The following is a 17,843-nucleotide window of genomic DNA, read 5'->3' on the forward strand; positions in this document are numbered from 1 at the left end:
TGTGATCCACCTGCCTCAGTCTCCCAAAGTACTGGGATTACAGGCATAAGCCACCACACTCGGTCTTGTTTTTTGTTTTTTTTTTTTGTTTTTTTAATGTATTGTCTATGGCTTACATACTGTCTTTGTATCACACTACAGAGGCAGAGTTGAGATACTGGGAAAGAGATGATACACTCTCATCACTTTGGACTGCTTCTTAGTACATTACAATTTTCAGTGACACAGTTACAACTTGACAGAATTTTGAGGGCTATCTGTATTACCATATAGTGACATTTTGTTATTATTTTTGTTTACCAATGTATATATTAATACTGGACTTAGAATGTTACATTTTTAAGGCACAATGGAGCATGGACTATACTGTTATTGAATTAGATGGCAAAGCATTAGGTTTATTATGCAATGACACTGTAGCTGTGCTAAAAGGATACAAATATACATTACCAGACTAAGCACTCATCACAATTTTTCCAACTCACAGGAAAGCTCAGAAAAATTAGAAAATTTAAAACAGAATATCTCATCACAGAAGTTATTCACAAATTTAAAAATACAATGAGGTTGCAAGAGAAGTAAGTTTCTGAGTGGTTGATTTGTTAGCCAAGCAAGGAAAGCTACTTATTGGTAATGAATTACTTAAATCATTTTGAATTGCAGCAGCTTAAGAAATATGTCCAGAGAAAACAGACTTGTTTAAGACTGTTAGCCTTTCTGTGAGAACAGTTGCTCCAAAAGTTGAGAATATTGGGAACACTACCAATAATTAATTTAAAAACACGACAAATAATTTTGAGTGGTTTTCCTTGATTCTTCATGGGTTAACAGATGTTACAGATACTACTCAATTGTTTATTTGGGGAGTCAATGCAAAGTGTGAAGTGACAAGAATTTGCTTTTATGAATAGTCTGCATGAAACAACTAGAGACAAGAATATATTCAAAATCATTGAGAAAACACTAATTCAATGCAACCTAAATTGGAATCTGCTAAGATGAATTATAACTAACTGATGGTGGGAAAAAAGTATGTATAGAAAAAATGGCTTAAAGAAATTTACACAGATTATGAAAACGTAAGGGGTTTAAAGCCTGTGCTTATTCATTGTATTATTCTTTAGCACGTACTTAGTGAAGAAAAAAATAAGACTCTCTCGTTTTTTTTAACCAATAGCATTAATGGTGAACTTCATTTGCTCCTGTGGATTTAACTAACCACTTTCAGTTCTGTGAATTTATTTTTTGTAGTTATAACAGCTGCTTTAATGTCTTTTTATATTATTATTATGCTTTGAAGTTCTAGGGTACATGTGTACAATGTGCAGGTTTGTCACATATGTATACATGCGCCATGTTGGTGTGCTGCACTCATTAACTCGTCATTTACATTAGGTATATCTCCTAATGTTATCCCTCCCCCCTCCCCCCACCCCATGACAGGCCCCGGTGTGTGATGTCCCCCTTCCTGTGTCCAAGTGTTCTCATTTTTCAATTCCCACCTATGAGTGAGAACATGCAGTGTTTGGTTTTTGTCCTTGCGATAGTTTGCTGAGAATGATGGTTTCCAGTCTCATCCATGTCCCTACAAAGGACATGAACTCATCCTTTTTTATGGCTGCATAGTATTCCATGGTGTATATGTGCCACATTTGCTTAATCCAGTCTATCACTGATGGACATTTGGGTTGGTTCCAAGTCTTTGCTATTGTGAATAGTGCCACAATAAACATACGTGTGCATGTGTCTTTATAGCAGCATGATTTATAACCCTTTGGGTATATATCCAGTAATGGGATGGCTGAGTGGAATGGTATTTCTAGTTCTAGATCCTTGAGGAATTGCCACACCGTCTTCCACAATGGTTGAACCAGTTTACAGTTCCACCAACAGTGTAAAAGTGTTCCTATTTCTCCACATCCTCTCCAGCACCTGTTGTTTCCTGACTTTTTAATGATCACCATTCTAACTGGTGTGAGATGGTACCTCATTGTGGTTTTGATTTGCATTTCTCTGATGGCCAGTGATGATGAGCATTTTTTCATGTGTCTGTTGGCTGCATAAATGTCTTCTTTTGAGAAGTGTCTGTTCATATCCTTTTCCCACTTCTTGATGGGGTTGTTTTTTTCTAGTAAATTTGTTTGAGTTCTTTGTAAATTCTGGATATCAGCCCTTTGTCAGATGAGTAGAGTGCAAAAATTTTCTCCCATTCTGTAGGTTGCCTGTTCACTCTGATGGTAGTTTCTTTTGCTGTGCAGAAGCTCTTTAGTTTAATTAGATCCCATTTGTCAATTTTGGCTTTTGTTGCCATTGCTTTTGGTGTTTTAGACGTGAAGTCCTTGCCCATGCCTATGTCCTGAATGGTATTGCCTAGGTTTCCTTCTAGGGTTTTTATGGTTTTAGGTCTAACATGTAAGTCTTTAATCCATCTTGAATTAATTTTTGTATAAGGTGTAAGGAAGGGATCCAGTTTCAGCTTTCTACATATGGCTAGCCAGTTTTCCCAGCACCATTTATTAAATAGGGAATCGTTTCCCCATTTCTTGTTTTTGTCAGGTTTGTCAAAGATCAGACGGTTGTAGATGTGTGGTATTATTTCTGAGGGCTCTGTTCTGTTCCATTGGTCTATATCTCTGTTTTGGTACCAGTACCATGCTGTTTTGGTTACTATAGCCTTGTAGTATAGTTTGAAGTCAGGTAGCGTGATGCCTTCAGTGTTGTTCTTTTGGCTTAGGATTGTCTTGGCAATGTGGGCCCTTTTTTGATTCCATATGAACTTTAGTTTTTTCCACTTCTGTGAAGAAAGTCATTGGTAGCTTGATGGGGATGGCATTGAATCTATAAATTACCTTGGGCAGTATGGCCATTTTCAGTTCTGTGAATTTTTGCCAGATACAGAAGCAGAAAATCCTGACTTGCACTAACACAGCAGTTAAATGGCTTAGCAGTGGTTAAGTTTTGTTGTGATTTTCTGATCTCAGAACCAAGATTGAAATTTTTCTGAATTAAGAAGAATTGATCTCTGTCTTTCTTTTGAGACGGAGTCTGGCTGTTTCCCAGGCTGGAGTGCAGTGGCGCGATCTCAGCTTATTGCAACTTCTGCCTCCCAGGTTCTAGCGATATTATTAAACACTGAATGGATTTGGAAATTAGCTTCTACTGAAGACTCAATACTGTTACCTAATGAATTCAACCTAAAATTATAAGGCAAAAGCAGCACAATGTAATGTGAAACTTACATTGTGGTAAAGTCATTTGAACAATTAATGCTATTTGAATAACAATATCAAGCTGCTTTATACACTTCTGTGCTATCAAAACTTAAAACAAGAAGTGAGGTCTCCACTGCCACACAAATCTGCAGCAGATATTTTTTGGAGCTTAATTTATAGCTTTAGCACCATACGTTGGACTATCCTCCTTTGGCAAATGCTGGGTCTTGTCTGTCCCTTGTGCTCCAAGACAAAGCCATAAACAAAGGTCAAGTTTACCCAAAGGAAAAATGCCTTCAGGGCAAAAAGCGGCTTTGGCACAATGCCCCTAAATGCCCATTTTCTTTCACAAATTGGCTGGATAGCTCCTCACTATCTTGTCAGTTCTTTGAAGCTTTTAAGGTGATTGACATTTTAACTAATATCTTTAGTTGTTTTCATTGGAAGTTGTTTTATTCCAAATAAATTGCCCACCAATAACAGGAACAGTAGTCTGAACAATTACTTTTTAAAGAAACAATTGTCCTATTGGCAGCAGCTAGGTGGCACTTGGTAATAGCAGTTCTACAATGAAAGGATTATGAATAGCTCCTAGCAGAGCACAGAGTGAGGTAAGGTGTAGCCCCCACAGTAAGTTTACAGACATATGACCTATGCCATCTCCCATCCCCCAAAAATAGACTGGCACAATGACAGTAAATGGCATGACTGATTAGCATACCATAAAAAACATCAGTAATTATCTGGAAACAATTAGGTTGAGTCCCCATCTTACTTCTTACACTAAAGGAAGCTTTACATAGATTGGGAGTTAAACATAAAAATATAACCACTAATGTACTGGAAGAATATATTGAAAATTTTTAAAAAATAATTTTGGGGAAGATTTCTCTATGATACAATCCTAGAAGTCATGAAAGAAAATACTGATAAATTCAGCTATATGAAAAATAACAACAACAACAACAAGAATTTTTGCTTACCTAAAACAACCTACACGAAGTAAAAAAAAAAGCAAGTAACAAACTATTGAAATTACTTGCAATTTACATTATAGGCAAAGAGTTAACATCCATAATATATAAAGAGCTGCTAAAAGTAAAGGAGAAAAAGATCAACAACCCTACAGAAAAAATGGCAAGAAATGTGGAAAGTTTACAGAAAGGATTCTAGGGAACCACCTAACTTTTAAAATTGGTAAATATAGGGAAAGAATTAAGCACCTTTCTGCCTTTATTATAACCAGGATAAACAAATAATTGATGAGAAGAAATTCTCTTTATAGAAATATTACAGCTAACAAATGAATAATGAGTGGTAAATGTAAGTATTAGAATGCCACCATTTGAAATTCTTATTAAAATGATAGATTTAGGCCATGCATTCTCAACGGGGGCAATATTTCTTGAAAGGGGTTAAAAATGAATTCTTAGGGGTAAAATATCTTAAATATTACAATGGTTTGCATTCTCTTAAGGGGCCACAATACAAAAAGAGATACATAGTTGTCTGTGGTCTTAAAATTTCAAAGACAGGGTGTGATCAAGAAAAAAAATGTAAGAAAGTGACAATGAAAAAAGGTTGGGAAATACTAATCTAGACGATAATCATCAATGGCTGCTACTAGAAAAAACGGAGACTACACATTACATACCATCAAGCAGGAGTACATCACCACCTAGGAAATATCCTGAAAATTCATAACTGTATCTCATCAAACCTCTAAATCTAACTACCAATTTACAGGATACAGGGAACACAGACTATGTTAAAATACACTATGGGTATGCAATTAGCCAAATCCAGAATGTGGGAAACGCTGAATAAACTGTAAGAAGAACAAAAAGGGAAGGAAGAAAGCTGTAGAATAAAAGAGACTGAAAAGACATATCAGCAAACGCAATATATGAAGCTCATTTGGGTCCTGATTTTAAGAAATCATAAAAATATTTTATGAGACAATCAGGAATTTCTATACTAGCTAGATACAGAACACTGTGTGATAACAGTATTGTGGTGATGTTTGAGATATCTTTTAAAGATACAAACAGAAATATTTACAGATGAAATCAGGGAAAAAAAAGACAAACTGGGGTAAACAAATCTCAATTCCTAAATTTGATCAGTGGTTCTCAAACTTTTGAGTATATCGTAGTCACTTGGAAGGCTTCTGAAATCACAAATCGCTCAATTTCTGGTATTAGGTCCTGTAAAAGGCCTGAGAATTTGCATTTCTTACACATTCTTAGGTAATGCTGATGTTGCTCGTCTAGGAACCACACTTTGAGAACCACTATCACAGACAAGGTTTCTAATTTCTTTAATATATAAACAGGTATCATTAGATCTTATTTAAAATCAAGTAGAGAAAAAGACCTATGAACTAACAGAAAATAGGCAAACAGCTTGAACAGGTCAAAGAAAAAAATGTCCTCTAAACATATAAAAACATAACAACCCTCAATATAAGAGAAATACATATTTTCAAATATAACAAGGTATCATTTTTCACCTTTTGGGATTATAATTAGTTCTGTTAAGGGTGTGAGAAAACAGGCACTGGTAATATATTCACAATAGGTGTATAAATTGTTGCTGCCTCTATGTAAGGCCTTATCTATCAAAATTTAAAATGCACACATCCTTTGACTACTGCTAAACATTTATCAGAGATATTCATACATGTACAAAATGACAAATGTATAATGATATTCACTGCAAGCCCTGTATTTCTAAAATACACAAAACTGGAGGAAACTAATCTTCCATCAGTAATGGATTAGTTGAATAAATTACAGTATATCCATGCAGTGAAATATTATATTCCTGTTAAAAAGGAGGAGGTAGTTTTGTACATTCTGATATGGAACAAACTCCATATCATATATTTGTAAGAGAAAAAATATTACTAATAATTCTATTAATTTTCAGTATTACTTATGTTCATTTGTTATACCATGAGCTAATAAAGTTTTAATCGGAGTATTTTTTCTTTCTTTTTTTTTTTTTTTTGAGATGGAGTCTCACTCTGTTGCCAGGCTGGAATGCAGTGCCATGATCTTGGCGCACTGCAACCTTCGCCTCCTGGGTTCAAGCGATTCTCCTGCCTCAGCCTCCCAAGTAGCTGGGATTACAGGTGCCCGCCACCATGCCCAGCTAATTTTTGTATTTTTAGTAGAGACGGGGTTTCACTATGTTGGCCAGGATGGTCTCAATCCCTTGACCTTGTGATCTGCCCGCCTTGGCCTCCCAAAGTGCTGGGATTACGGGCGTGAGCCACAGTGCCTGGCCATGTTTTCTTTATGTTTATCTAAGGATACATTCCAGCCTATGGAATTAGTTTATAATTTGCTTACCTGACCGAACGATCATCACTTCCAGTCACAGCCAAAGGTTTAGTAGGATGGACAGCAAGTGCCCAAAGTTCACCTTCACAATGCCCTTGCATAATTAGAAAAGGTTTATTTCTTTCTTGCACCACAATTTCAAAAATTTCACTGTCCTGTGTTCCAACTAGAATGTGGTCACCTCGCCAACACACACTCCTTACAGACAAACCTAGTAAAAAGTAAATTGTATTTAATATATAATGCTGTAATAATGATAGCAGCAGGAGGCAGACAAATCCCTATGCAGATAGGGGCAAGTCCCGGTGAAAGCCAACCTTCAAACCTAAGACAGTTTAAAGCCTGAAAGCCAAGCTACAAGTCTCAGATAAATCCATGGACCAACTGAGAACGTCTCTTCCCATTTGGTGCACTTTCCTCTGATTGATCCCCACCTTTCACTTACTTTACACATATTTATCCTTCCCTAATTTTTTTTTATAGTGTTGTGCCCATCTTTGAGGGGTGCTTTTTTTAAGCCTTTTTTTACTCACAAACCCATCAGCATGCAATCCCCCATTCTGAGCCCATAAAGGCTCCAGACTCAGCCATATTTGGGGACTGCCCACCTTTGGGTGGGGGGTTGGGGGCAGGGGAGACTACCTGACTTCACCCCATCTCGGGTACCCTCTCCATTGAGAGCTGTTTTGTCACTCAGTAAAACTCTTTGCCTTGCTCACCTGCCAGCTGCCAGTATAACTTCTTTCTTCTTGGATGTGGGACAAGAACTTGGAACTCACCAAACAGTGAGTACAGACAGAGCTGTAACCATGCAGCACTCCCCTCCTACTCACCAAGCAACAGGAGAGGGAGCCGCTGGGCACCACATGCCCCCATTTATTGGGCAGGACTGAAAGAGCTATTAACATGCTGTAACACCCCCTTTGGGGCTTCAGGGCCGCTAGAGTCCCCAAGTTTTTTAGGTGCCACCACATTCCCTTCAACCAGACGCCAACGCCCAAGGCAGAAGCAGGTCACAGCACACCCGGCCCAGCCACAGGCTGAGCATGGATCCTGCAGCAAGTGTGGGATCCAGCCAGAGTATAAGCCAAGCGCAGCCTGCCAGGCCAAGTGGGCAGGGTACCTCCTGGCGAGCCTGGAGCCCAGTGCAGCCCGGGACAGGGGCATTGCGCCCGCCATGGAGGTCTCCAGCTGGCAAGGTAGCACCCAAAATATCCTGTGTCAATAATTCCAATCTTCCTAAATTGAAGTTAATTTTGTACCTTTTATATCTTAGATGTGAGACAGAAGAAATATGTAAGTCCTTGATCTATACTCACATTTTCTTCAATTGTCCATGTTGTTTTCTACATGAAATATTTGTCTTTTTATGTACCTAGTTCCTACCCATCCTTCAAGACATGTACTCTTCTTCCTTCTCCCTTGTAGACAACTCTAGCCATGTCTACTTGCTCAGCCAGTCTTATAACACTTCAGTCTGCATTGTTCAATAAGTACTCAATTAGTAAATTACCTTTATAGAATTGTATTCTTTTCCTTTTAATAATCTTTTTACTTGTCTATATTTCTTCAATATACTTATAATATCATTAAAAAGAGAGAATTTTACTTTTTCTGCCTACTCCTGAATGTCTTTTGTAATCTTAGGAAAGCTACCGTGTTTTTCAGTTTTCTCATGTGTGTTACATGGCCAATATAAAGACACCGTGTACCTCACAATGTTCTTGTGAGGATCAGATAAGAAAAAGTCTCAAATTATTTTGTAAGCTTTAAAGCACAATAATGTTTAGCAAAACTAATGAAAATAAAATACCAATTAACATTTACATGCTTATTATGTGCTATCCTTATAAACATTTGAGAAATATCAATTCATATATAGGATCCTATATCCTAAATAATATATTTATTCTTATTCTCCTTATTTACAGTGAGGGTAAATTACCAGCCCAAGGTCACACAACTTGTAGGTGACTGGAATATGGTTTAAACACAAACCTGTGGGTAGCTTTTATAGTAAAAGGTCCTGTTTTATTACATCAATTTTTTTTAATCCCCAAGAGAAAAAAAAAAAATCCCCCAATTGCTGACAAATTTGGGTGAAGGAAAAATACACCTATCCACATTTAAATTATCCTGAACAAAAGTTTCCCAACCCTCAATATTTACCCCCAACTGTTTATTTAGAATAGTTTGTTAAATAGTTATATTTAGCATTCTAATAGTAAAATACTTTCAAAATCCAAAGATACCTAAGTGAGTACCTCTCACATCTCTCTATAGGTCCCATTATAATAGATATTAGACTTATGAAAGAATCTTTCTCCTAACAATGAACCTAAACTCTTTACAGGCAAAATTTCTCCTTAATAGAAGAATTTTAATCAAATGCATACAGGGTGAAGAGGCAAATATAAGTCTTATTTATATTTACAAAACTTACATTTATACTCACTGAAAGAAAGAGATAATCTTTGGGAAGTTTAGAGTTTGCCTAGTAATAAGACATTTGTTTTGTTATTACCTTTGTATCCCTGGTCTGTTTCCCTGAGATCAATCACAGTAATTGGTTTAAAAGTTAAATCCCAAAGACGAATACAACCATCTCTGCCACCAGTAGCAAAGCCTTCTTCACAAGCATTCATGCTAAAAATTCCTGCCTAGAAGAGGAAATAAAATAATTTAACGACAAATATTTTTTAAGAACATCTACTATATGAAGGTAGAAACCCTTTTAAACCAATTTAACAATATTTTGGTAGGATATAAGAATAAACAAATACATCAGAAAACACAAAAGAAAATCTAGAAGTAAGTCCATAAGAACTTAATACAGTTGCCCCTTGTGGATTTGAACTTCACTGGCTCACTTATATGGATTTTTTCAATAAATACAGTCAGCTGTGTATCCACAGTTCCACATTAGCAATGAAACCCAGATCAAAATACAATCTTTGTGGGATGCAAAACCCATAGATAGGGAGGGCTTTACATATGCAGGTTTCCCAGGGCAAGACTTGAGTATGTGTAGATTTTGGTATCTGTGGTTCTGGAGCCAATCCCCCCCAAAATATCAAGGCATGACTATATATAACCAAGGTGGTATTTAATTATATGGATAGAACATAAAAGAAAATAAATTTAATTCCTATACCACATGTAAAAATGAATTATACATGAACTTAAAAAATAACTATTTATAACTAAATATAAAACAAGAATATTAGAAAAATTCAGAATAACATTTAGGTAACTTTGGGCTGTGAGAGACTTTTCTAGGCATGGCAGATCACCCACAAGTTTTAAATTTGTTCATATGAGAAAAGATGTAATAAGCAAAGACAAACAGATTGGAGAAATATTTGCAACATGTATGACTGTCAAAAGATTAATAACCCTAATATTCAAATGAATAAAGGAAAGAAAACCAATTCAACAACCACAAAAAATTTAAAAAGTAAAAAAGAAAAGGGTAGGAAAACCCAATTAATAGAAATGTAATGCACTGAGGACTTTTCTACACAAAGATCTTGCTGTTAACAACATGGCAGCTTTGTGCTATCTAGCTCCCTTTACTTTGTAAGGGGGACCCAAACTGCTAAAAAGCTCAAACCAAAAAACGCTAAGAATTTAAACAGCAGATTTCTTTTTAAGTTTAGTAAGTTATTTACACGAAAATTTAATTGCCTCTGGTAAATTAGCCTCAAGAGCACTAGCTTTATTCTGGTGTGGTTAATCTAGAATACTTTTAGATTGAAGTCAACAAGCTTTTTTTCAACACTACTCTTCAGAAAGACACCATACTAAAGCAATAGCTTTAACAAGATACTAATTATACTAATGTAATAAATATCAATGAGTCTAATTGATTTCTTCATTGAAATCTTGAAAACAAATAGATAATTCAGTTAGAAAAGCATTTTCAAGCAACCAAACTGACTAGAAACAATATACTATATTACGCAGTCTATCATTCTAAGACAAGGTTAAGTAATACACATGAAAGTGTTTAAAATACTTAAATGTACTTACAGCATGGGCTCCTTGTATTGTTCGTATAAGATTGATTCCTTTCCAAACATATATATCCCCATTGAGTGCACCAGAATATGTTAATTCATCCCTTGCACAGGCTAGGCACAGTATTGTCTGAAGGTCACCCGTCTTACCAAAGACACCTCGTTTTGGGGTCAGAGCATTTCCACATAAACTCCAGAACTAAAAGGTATATAGTATAATCAAATTACCAAAGAATTCTTATAAAATAAAGTAAAACATTCCCAATACTTTGATGCTATATTAGAGCAGTGAGCTAAAAATTAACTAAGAAATTGCCTTATGATAAAATAGCATTCAATGTTCAGATTCTCATCCTAGTGCTGTCAAAAGCTACGTTATAGCATAGCTATATAGTCACTGGTTTCAATTCTTATCTGTAAGAATAAGGGGTTTGAATCAGATTATTTTTAAAATATGCTATGCTTTCCTTAGGTTTCTGAAAAGAAATCTACATAAAACTTAGATTAAGCCAGGCACAGTGGCTCATGCCTGTAATCCCAGCATTTTGGGAGAGCAAGGTAGGCAGATCACCTGAGGTCAGGAGTTCAAGACCAGCCTGGCCAATATGGCGAAGTCCCATCTCTGCTAAAAATACAAAAATTAGCCAGGTATGGTGGCGCATGCCTGTAATCCCAGTTACTCGGGAGGCTGAGGCACAAGAATCGCTTGATATCAAGAGGCAGAGGTTGCAGTGAGCCAAGAGTGTACCACTGCACTCCAGCCTGGGCGCAGAGTGAGACTCCGTCTCAAGAAAAAAAAAAATTTTAGGTTAAAAAGTTGGGAATCGGTTAGCAATGAAAATGAAGGTAAGTCATCATAGACTAAGAAGAAGAAAAAGGACCAAATCTAACATACTCTCTCTGATAGAAACATTAAGGATAGGAAAAAAAGAGTATGCTACAGCTCACGGTAACTGCAGCTCACTGTAACTATAATATTTGATATTTTCAAAGCTGAGCAATTGCTTTGCTTGTAAAGCTTAAAAAAATAAGATAGATGTCCATGTGGAATGATTTGTTCATTCTTGGGAGAAAATAAGAAGTTAACCATGAATCTTCATTACCAGGGCTTTTGTTCTATTAGGTGGAATTAGGTAAATTTTTATAGTTCACGGAGAGAAATTTAAAGAAAAAGGAGTTGGGGGGAAGTGGACACAGTGGCAAACGCCTGTAGTCTCAGCAACTTGGGAGGCTGAGGTGGGAGGATGGTTTGAGGCCAGGAGTTTGAGGCTACAGTGAGCTATAAATCACACCTGTGAATAGCTACTGCACTCCAGCATGGGCCACATGGTAGGATCCCATCTCTAAAAAATAAACCAAAAAAATGGGACAGGGCAGAGATACATACATTAAATAGTTCTGCATAAAGAAATTAGGCCCAAAGAAAAAATTCAACTTTGTAATAAGTAATTAACATTTAAAATAATTTATTATCATATATTCTTATTTTAAAATTTGAAGCCTCAAAGAACTAAAAATTATGATCATTATCTATTCAAAGATCTAATGAGTACTTTAATTAAACTTTGTAATTTTTAAACTTAAAATCTCCATAATTTGTGTACATAAGTGGCTTGTTTTCTTTCTTTCAGCATGTCCTAATTTGAATCCATTATTTTCTTCTAGATCAGTGATTCCCAATGTTAGCTTCACATTAGAATCACCTGGGAAATCATAAAATGGGATGCCTGGACTCCCAATTGAGATGAACTGAGACAGAATCTCTGAAGCATGAAGCCCAGGTACCCAAATTATTTTGATGCTCAGCAAGGGTTAAGAACTATTGTTCTAGAATCCAAATCAATATTGACCAATAGAAATTTCAGTGATGATGAAAATATTACACACACACACACGCTTTCCAATACAGTAACCACTACTAGATACATAAGCATATGAAATGTACTGCTAGTGTGACTGAGGAAATGAATTTTAAGTTTCATTTAACTAATTTGTGTTTAAATAGCTATGTATGGTTGGACAGTGCAGTTCTAGATCATCTCTGGGAATTAATTTCCTCACATGTATTGCCTGCAAAGAGAACTATGTTACTATTCATTTCTTCTAGCAAAGGGAAAGAAATGTAACTCATTATAAAAATATAGTTTATTTAGTTTGAGATAAGCTTTTTATAAAAACCTGAAAATGGAGCCTTTAGCTTTACTTACAATATAAAATAGTAAGATCTCCTTATTCATAATTAATTTGCCAATCACTTATTAAGCACTTAATATATATCAAGTACCATATCAAACACACTGTCCATCAAAGATGAACAAGACAAAAATACCTTCACAGTGCTTATATCATGTGCCTTAAAGCCCAGCATACAGCCTTTTTGGTATTAAATATTTGTCAAAAAATAAATATTTACTACTATCCATCAATCAAATCAATACCAGAATAACAAATCAAGAATTGCAGCAGCAGTGAAAGATGCACTGGAGAAAACGTGGATGGAGTTAGGCATATTGAAATAAAGAATGTGAACACAGAACCTTAATTAATTCACTAGGAATTAACTGTTACCAGGAACTGTTACATCAGACAGTGGAAGTAAAGCAAGTTAATTCCAATTTGTTCCAATGATTTAAAAGTAACTATAAACATAATAATGAATATCACCACTGACTTTACAGGCTTCAAAATCTGAGCTGTAATTATAAAACAAAACCCAGAGCTTTCATAAGCAAAGTAAATAGTGGCTATCAAGGCTGAGAGAGGGACAAGGAGAGATTTGTTAAAGGATACAAAATTGTAACTAGAGAGGAGGAATAAGTTCTACTACTCTATACCACTGTAGAATGAGTATAGGTAATATGAATACACAGTTTCAAATAGCTAGAAGGAGGATATTGAATGGTCCTAAAACAAAGAAATAGCAAATGTTTGGGATGATAGCTAATTACCCTAATCTGATCACCATACATTTTTATGTATCAAAACATCACTATGTACCCATGAATATGTACTATCATTATTTGTCAAAAAAAAAATTTAAAGGCTGAGGTCAAATCAGGGAGCAAATATAGAAAAAGGAAAAGCAACACTTTCAGAAAGCAGACCATGTGTTAGGCACTATGACAAGCACTTGAATATACACTGCCGCCTTATTTAATCATCAATTCTTTGAGGATGGTAACAGCAGTCACAGTTTTAAAATGTGAAAATAAAAGCTCAAAGAGGTTAAATAACTCATAGCAGGTTAAACAGCTAATAAATGGCAAAGCCAGGTCTACTCATGTTGCTTCTCCCACACCATTCTATGTAAATGAAAAACTCTTCATTTCTTTCCTATTCTCAACATTTTACTTTGTAAGTGAAACATGAAGAAACAGGATGGACACAGTAAATCCTGCCTCACTAGACTACAGATTTCTTTATGGAATGTGGCTTATTAATTTCCTATTCATACCTATATTCCTTACAATAGTTCAAAGCAAATAATATATATATTTGTTTGACTGAACATAAGAACAATAAAAACATTGCCATTTTAAAAATAAGTACTATCAAAATTCTGAAAGTAGGCTAAATTGTTAACAGTGCAATATATACTTAGCAGCAGAGAACTAAACGTGACTATTATAAAACAAGACCCTTCTAGTACCTTGATATGTTTTACACCACAGCTGACAAGTTTATTTGGCTGGTACAAATCCCAAGAAATATCAAATATCTGTAAACAAATCAGATTCATGATTAAAATACTTATTTCCAGAATCATTTAAAAATCCTGTCCAAAAGACCAAATGGCCCAAACTCCTAATCATAAAATAATATTCCTCAATAAATAATAATCAACATCCCACACTTCAAAATCTTATGAGAAATAAAGTAAATTTGAAAATGATAAGAAATAAAAAGCATTTCTTCATTTCTATGAACTTCAAACACTACTGGAGTAAAATTTAACACCTCTGTTTATTTTTAATTTTTAAAAAAATTTGGTCCATAAATAACAAGAATGGTTGAACAGAATTAGGACACGAAGGGAGGTGCTTGCATAATTTCTACAGAAAAGAGATTCAGAATGGAACGTGACACTTACACAGCCTAGAAATAAGAAACACCTTTATAGCTTTCTATCACTCAGAACTGTTTACATAAAGAATCCAAACACTGATTTTACAGTAATTTTTTTCACTGTTTAAAGGTCAAAGTTAACTCAAATTTTGGGGAGTCTCCAGGCTTCATTATTTTCTAAAATTCCATAAATTCTAAATACATGCAAAACATTTTGTTACAAAAGCAAACAAGCAAAAACCCAGGTGAAATAAAATACGAATGAGAAATGTAATTAAACAAATGATGAAAGAAAAACTAACATTTAAAAAATAATTCATTTATTCTGCTTTCTGGTAGTCGTCATGTTTCTTTGACACCTTATCAACCTACCTCTAAAAGGTTTACATTTTTGGTATACTAAAATGTACACTTCACATTTTGGTATACTCCAAAAATTTACAAAGTGATGCTCTTTAGTGATAATGAAGAAAGAATACATATTACAGTTAATATTTAACAACTCACCATAATACAGATTATATGAAAAACATATCAATGCAACTTTGAAATATTCAACCACAATAATACTTTCAAAAACTCCATTGACAGTGTCATATTTTGTAACGGGTCTATTTATATAAATTCCAAATAGTCATGTGCAAAATGCTTTGATCTAAGCAGGTAAGAACATGCCAGCTGTCTAATAAAATATATCCAACATTTTAATAATGGTCTAAATTGTGTGTTTGTGTGTGTGTGTGTGTGTGTGTGTGTGTGTAATAGGCCTCTCTGTGCACCTACTAAAAACCAAATGTATTCTCCAAAATGCGAATATACACAAAATTTTCTACCCAACTTTTAGAATGATAAATTCCCACCAAATACAGTCATTGGCCATGCCTCTGTGCTGGTTCAGGTTAGGATTTTACTACATATACATACACACAAATTAGACACTTTTAGGAGTTTACAACTTTTTTGATCTACATCCATAAAAATAGTATAATATTTAATTAAAAGCTGGCTATGATGTATTGTTTATATACAATTTGGAATGAGGAATATATATTCTAACAAGTCATCAGTTAAAAATGTTAGGTCTCTAAAAAATGTAATAGTAATACGTAATTTTAAATCCACACAAGCAACATTATTTTTCACCTTAACCATAATACATATGTAACAAATTAGTGGTAAACCAAACTAAACAGACCCTAGGCTCAAACCATTCAATTTTTAAATTGAGATTTGAATAATGGGTGTCTGCATATGTCAAACCCATCAAACTTCACACCTTAAATATGTGCATCCCTATGTATATCAATTATATTTCAATAAAACTGTTTTAAAAAATGTAAAGAAAATACATTGTTTTTACTGAAGCAAACACCAGGTTAAAAGTCTTATACCTAATGTAGATGATGGGTTGATGGGTGCAGCAAACCTCCATGGCACGTGTATACCTATGTAACAAACCTGCACGTTCTGCACATGTACCCCAGAACTTAAAAGTATAATAAAAAAAAGAAAAAAAGTCTTATGCCAATGCTATACATATCAAATCATGTTTCCAAGTCCTACAATACATATGTACTCTAACACTTTAAGACTTTTTACATCTGTACAATTATTTACCAATTGTAAAATTTTAATTACATATGACCTATCTGGCAATAACAAAATACAGAAGAATAAAATCTCCTGAACTCTCTTCTGGTCTTTCCCTTCCAGTACTCATTAGAAATCTCAAAAGAGAATACTTACTCTATCTGTATGACCAGGAGCCATAGACAACATTTTTCCCCTTTTCCAGTCCCAAACACAAACTGCATTCTTTGAATCAAGTCCAACTGAAACCAAGCGCTGATTTATGTCCAAGAAGTCCAGGAAGGAATAAAAAGGCAAACAAATCAAAGAGAAACTGAATTACAAATAGCAAAGAAATTATACTCATGGGTTTTTATAAACATAAAACATATATGCCTATATTTTATAGACCTCATAAAGGCTGAATGTATTTCACCTTGTTAGTGTTTCCACATATGTATAGATCTTCACATTATGAAACAGAAGAGAGACTTCCATTTCTAACAGTAGGATTGACAAAATATCCTAAATATACCTCCTACCAAAAACTAAAAATACTAGATAAAATGTAAAATCATGTTTTTAAATGGACTGATGAGCTGTCGAAAAATTAAGAAATTTTCCAGTGGGAAACCTGGAGGATGAGAAAACACCTACACCTACTGGACTCTAAAGGCATCGGGTGAATACTTGTACCCCTGATTTCTGTGCTGTGGGCTGAGGAAGATAGGAGACAAAGTCTAGGGCCTACCTAAGGTGGGGATTTGAATTGCAGACCGCCTCTGATTAAAGCAGTAAACCTCTCGGAAACAACAAATAACCCCTTCCTAAAGAAGCGGAGGCAACTCATGAAGAGGGAGAAACACCTCCCTGAACATTTGTAACCACAAGCATCCTTCACATGGTTGCTGGCCTAAATTCTCATTAAACATGAATCCTTCAACTAGGAAATTTAATTCAAAGTAGTCTTCAGGGTTGGCTGTGTCTTCAAGCAACTTCAACAATGTGGCCCAAGCAAATATAAATCCTAAATGAAGTACCGCAACTTTGATCTATCCCTCAAAGAATTCCTACAGGTAGCAATTCAATCAAAATAAGCTAAACAAACAAACAAAAAAAAAAGGGTCAGGTGCGGTGGCTCACACTGTAATCCCAGCACTTTGGAAGGCCAAGGCAGGTGGATTGCTTGAGGCCAGGAGATTGAGACCAGCCTGGGCAACACGTTGAAACCCCGTCTCTACTAAAATTACAAAAATTAGCCAGGCGTGGTGACTCACGCCTGTAATTCCATCTACTCGGGAGGCTGAGGCAGGGGAATCACTTGAACCCAGGAGGTAGAGGTTGCAGAGAGCTGAGGTCGTTCCACTGCACTCTAGCCTGGGAGACAGAGAGAGACTCTGTCTCAAAAAATAGTAATAATAAGCTGAAAAAATAAACAAACCACCCCACCCACACACACAAACACAACAAAATAAGAAACCATGAGTGAGAATGGGCAAGTCACAACAAACAGCAAAGTCGGCCTTGCAAAAAACATCAGATATGGCATTATTAGTTAAATAACATAAGCTTAACGTGAGAAATAAGCTTAATGTGCGAAATAAAATTAAGGATTCAAAATATCTGTATAT

The 17,843-nt window shown here is 35.3% G+C and overlaps 1 protein-coding gene across 25 annotated transcripts in view; it reads right to left on the minus strand.

The window, feature by feature from the left end:
- The window catches only part of EML5 (EMAP like 5), a 180,523-nt gene that overhangs the window by 117,365 nt on the left and 45,315 nt on the right, over positions 1 to 17,843 (minus strand). For all 25 annotated transcript variants that reach the window (XM_047431057.1, XM_017021065.3, XM_047431056.1 and 22 more), the window contains 5 exons: positions 16,390 to 16,488; positions 14,228 to 14,296; positions 10,592 to 10,777; positions 9,084 to 9,219; positions 6,569 to 6,770 (listed from right to left, as the gene is read on the minus strand). In XM_047431057.1, the coding sequence (XP_047287013.1) occupies positions 6,569 to 6,770; positions 9,084 to 9,219; positions 10,592 to 10,777; positions 14,228 to 14,296; positions 16,390 to 16,488 (692 nt within the window). The remainder of the gene's footprint in view (positions 1 to 6,568; positions 6,771 to 9,083; positions 9,220 to 10,591; positions 10,778 to 14,227; positions 14,297 to 16,389; positions 16,489 to 17,843) is intronic.

This window comes from Homo sapiens, chromosome 14 (genome assembly GCF_000001405.40).
Source record: "Homo sapiens chromosome 14, GRCh38.p14 Primary Assembly".
Classification (NCBI taxonomy): domain Eukaryota; kingdom Metazoa; phylum Chordata; class Mammalia; order Primates; family Hominidae; genus Homo; species Homo sapiens.